At 39.6% G+C, this 4375-nt stretch overlaps 1 annotated feature.

Annotated features, from left to right (window-relative positions):
* Positions 4021–4080: an enhancer, noted in NCBI's record as "active region_23350". NCBI's record gives its function as "activates an Ori minimal core promoter by ATAC-STARR-seq in GM12878 lymphoblastoid cells {active_cell/tissue: GM12878}" and the evidence as "EXISTENCE:reporter gene assay evidence [ECO:0000049][PMID:35858748]".

A 4375-nucleotide genomic window follows, 5' to 3' on the forward strand; every position in this document is an offset into this window, starting at 1 on the left:
AGCTTTTTTTGCCTAGAAGTTGAATTTGGAAATTCAAACAGCTTGACACCAACTTGAACTTTGAAACATTCTCAGGGTCTCTTAACAAACAGCTGTGAAAAATATGTGAGCAGCTGAGTGCCTGAGCATTTATTAATCCCAAACAAATGGGCACACTCGGAAAGGAAATGTAAAATAACTTCCCAAGTGTGTAAATTTGAAAGTTTCTAAAATTTTTTGAACTAATTATTTTTCTTTTGTCAATACACATTTTGGTGCACTTGAAACTACAGAAAAATTTCACTGAATAGCAGGACAAATCAATTGATTCTCTAGGTCATTCTGGTGCTTTGAATATAAAGAGTTTAAATTTTCAACTGTATAACTTACCGATGTGGTAATAGTTAAGCCATCCAATTTAGAGAAAAATGGTTATACTTTTCTCAAGAGGAAATGCTGCACCCTAACTAGATGAAGCCTTGGGATAATCTCTAATTGAAAGGGTTTCTGCTAATGTCACTATAGTTTGGGTCACTGTCTGCTATTACTTCCCAGGAACTAGGGTTTATCTCACCATAAAAGCAACGCCATTGGGTCTCCTTATGGCCATATAAAAGTGGACCAACTACTGTTTTTTTCTTTTTTTGAGACAGAGTATCACTCTGTCACCCAGGCTGGAGTGCAATGGCACAATCTCGGCTCACTGCAACCTCCACCTCTTAGGTTCAAGCAATTCTCCTGCCTCAGCCTCCCAAGTAGCTGGGATTACAGGCGCCTGCCACCACGCCCAGCTAACTTTTTATATTTTTTAGTATAAACAGGGTTTCATCATGTTCTCCAGGCTAGTCTTGAACTCCTGACCTCAAGTGATCTGCCCGCTTCGGCCTCCCAAAGCGATGGGATTACAGGCGTGAGCCACCGCACCCGATCTACTGTTTTAAAGTATAATGACATCTTAGGGCAAAATTATGTTTGAATTAGGAAATTATATGTCCTCCACTTAATATCAGTTGGAGTTTTTAGTTCAAACCAGAGGTCTCTTGTGTGTTCATAACGAAGACTTTTCTCTCTGGGATTCAGGTCCACCCTTCTTGGGTTGACATCAGTTTCTGAAAACTTACTTGGATCCTGCATACAAAGTAACTTGCATGAAATTCTCCTTTCCTGGGCACACAATCATACTGTTTAGATGCCAAGGCCTGCATCTGTTTTGAAAGCCATTTCAATTGGCTGCTCCAAATAGCTCTAGGACTTAACTTCTCTTCATGAGTCATTCTGTCTTTTCAAATCCTCCAGATTGGTTTCTTCAAGTTTCAAACTTCAACTCAACAAACATTTACTGTGGGCCTTCCATACTAGTGACTACATTAGACATAAAAGCTAGATAAAACCTTGGTCTCTGCTCTTATTCTGATCTTTCTGCCTGAGGGGAACTGTCATGAAATCGAGTAACTACTACACCATGGTTAAGTGCTATGAGAGCTGGTTGAAAAGAACAAAGAGAAGAACCAGTAACCACATTGAATATTAGGCTCTATCACTTACTTACTAGCCTTCCGTCTTGCATAGGCTGTGCAAGTTCCCTGAACCTCAGTTACCTCTTCTGCAAAGAATATGCATGTGACATGCCACATAGGATTATTGTGAGGACTAAATGAGATAGCCAAAGTACACCTCTGATCATGGCCCTTAGAGTATAGGCATTTGTCATTAATGCTCAGCTACTGTTATTATAATCATATAATATTTGTCATTTACCAAAGTGTATTTATGTATTAGAAAATTTTAAAGCTAGAAGGACTGCAGAAGTAATGTAGTTCAATAATAGACACCTACATCAGTCAGGGTCCAATGAGACAGAAAACTCTCCAGTTATTTGAAAAAGAAATAATTTAATACAAAGAAATGTTAACTAGATCTAAAGTTGCCAATTATGTAACCAAAAAGAAAAAACTTGGAGGTAGCAATTATAGGAAGCAGCTATCACTCTTAGGGCTGAAGGCCCAAAAGGAAGACACTGGAATGATGACAATTTAGAAGCATGGAGGAGGGGCCCCAGAGCTGTAGCTCAGAGGAAGCACTCTATGGAGCTAGTTTTAGATTTCTGAGGAGGAGGCATTGGCCAGCCAGTGCTTGGGCTGATGTACTTACGGGGGTGAAATGAAGCTGGTGCTGCATATGTTGAAAAACTGCATATTGGATTCAGCTGCTGCTATTGGGAGGCCTGTGGCTGCCAAGGCAAAGATCCCAGTGCCGAGCAGCACACACAGGGGCAGGAGAGAAAGAATGCTACCTAGCTTACTGTGTCCAGTTCTTGCAAGAACTGGCTGTGTCTTGACCTAAAGTTCAAGTAAAACCTGTGTCTTTAAAATAAATTCTCCATTCTTATTTAAGCCAAGGAGAATCTCTATTACTTGTGGAAAAAAGTCTTAATAAATACACATTTTGTGAATCAAAATAACATCTTTCTGGAATGCAATGTACCTTTTACCACAACACCGACCTCAGCGTGACCATGTCTTTAAAAAGTCCACACTAAGAGTTGCGAGTAGCTCAGGGAACATGGGTTAAAGTTTTGCTGATATAAATTCATCTATGACCCCAAATATTGCCTGTGCATTTCACTGGGATCCGTTGATACAGCTCCATGCTTTTGGAATTATTTCACTGCTTCTGAGTGCACTATGTGCATAAACCTGTGCAGAATGGCCAAAGCAATTTGGAAAGAATGACTGTTGACAGCTTTTAGTTCCACCTCATCCTCATAGGCCTGGTCAAAGGAAATCTCTAATTTCTTAAAGTGAATTACAGCTCTCCTGAAGTGAGTGAGCTAACAAAATATGTTCATTTTGCATGTCAAGTTTGGTGGTGTGGTTCATTTCAACGGACACTTCAGTGCATCTAACAGTTTCAGTATCATTATTATGAGTTCCCTCTCGTGCCAAAAATGCCTGGAAAAGCCTGTTGCATATGAGTAGTGCAAGTCATGATTGTTCATCTGGAAATTGTTTTGAGTAGAAAAATGATATTTCCCCATCCCGTCTAGAACAATTATTTTGGATAATGTAAAAGGCAGAATTTGCTGTTCGACACAAAATGTTTGGCACTACAGGAGATAATCGGAAGAGATACTAGCAAACAATGAGTGGGGAAAAATAAGCAAATTAGCAGGATAGGGTAGTAGCTAAGCTTTTATTTTTGGGGGGTGTCTTAATGATTTTCTGATCCAGATTTGTCTAAGTTTCAGGGTAGGCATGGTTAAATGATGAGGAGAGACAGAGAAAAGGGGGCTTAAGCTCAATTAAAATCAAACACTTTGCACAGCACCAACATACACTTGAATGAACGTTTTCCCCTTATCTATTGTTGTGTGTGTGTGTGTGTGTCTGTGTCTGTGTGTGTTTAATTTTGTAGCTACAGCCACACACTCCAACTGTCAGTTCAGAATATTTTATAGGCACTTTTGGTTCATGTGTTAGGAGGTGTACAGTTTACCATCTATGTTATTTGTGTGGTGCTGACTCATATCACATGGGTAGGCTATTCTGAGTTTTAATCTTGCCTGGATATATCCTTTAAAAATACATCTTCATTCATTTGTATGAGCCAAAGTGTTTGCAACTAATTTCTTTTCCTTCTGTGTCCTATTACATTTCACTGCATGACAAGCATTTTTTAAGCATTTAGAGGAAAATGCAGTGATGACATAAAAAAATCTTTAATTGGATCTGGATGGAAGTCTCTTGCTATATTAGAAGGCTTAGTTGTATAATACTAAAAATTGTACAAATTGTGCAAGTCTGGAGGCAAAGAATTTGTGGTGTTTGTGTAGGTCTGTTCCTGAGCTGGCATGATGCAAGAGTTTTGTAAGGACCTCCTGGGTGTCCTTCTGCTTCTAACACCCTAAAACCTCTCAATCCCAGGTGTCAACTTGGTGTGTCACCCAAAGTTATGTTCCAAGAAGGTGACTTCTTATGGCTTTGGGTTAATGAAACAGGATTCACAATTATGTCATACAGAGATGGAGTTAGGACTTAAGAGTGATGGGCTAGGTACATTGACTTAGAATCCAAAAATGGACCAGGCAGAGAAACTCAAAATGGAGTAGCTAATTTCTATTGAGCACAATCAACATGCCAGACACTATTCTAGATGCCTCACATGTATGAGTCATTTAGTCCATCCAAAAATGATTATTATGGCCACTTTCAGATGAGAAAACTGAGGGTCAGAGGTAAGAAAGTTGCTGGAAGTCATGCAATTACTAAGAGCCAGAGATGATTCAAATCCAAGCAGTTGGATCTAGAGATCACCTTTCTAACCACTGGATTCTACTGCTGCCCAAAGGCCTCTTCAAAGCCCTGGACCATCACGTGGGGACTCCTAGAAGTCTTAG

This window comes from Homo sapiens, chromosome 5 (genome assembly GCF_000001405.40).
Source record: "Homo sapiens chromosome 5, GRCh38.p14 Primary Assembly".
Classification (NCBI taxonomy): domain Eukaryota; kingdom Metazoa; phylum Chordata; class Mammalia; order Primates; family Hominidae; genus Homo; species Homo sapiens.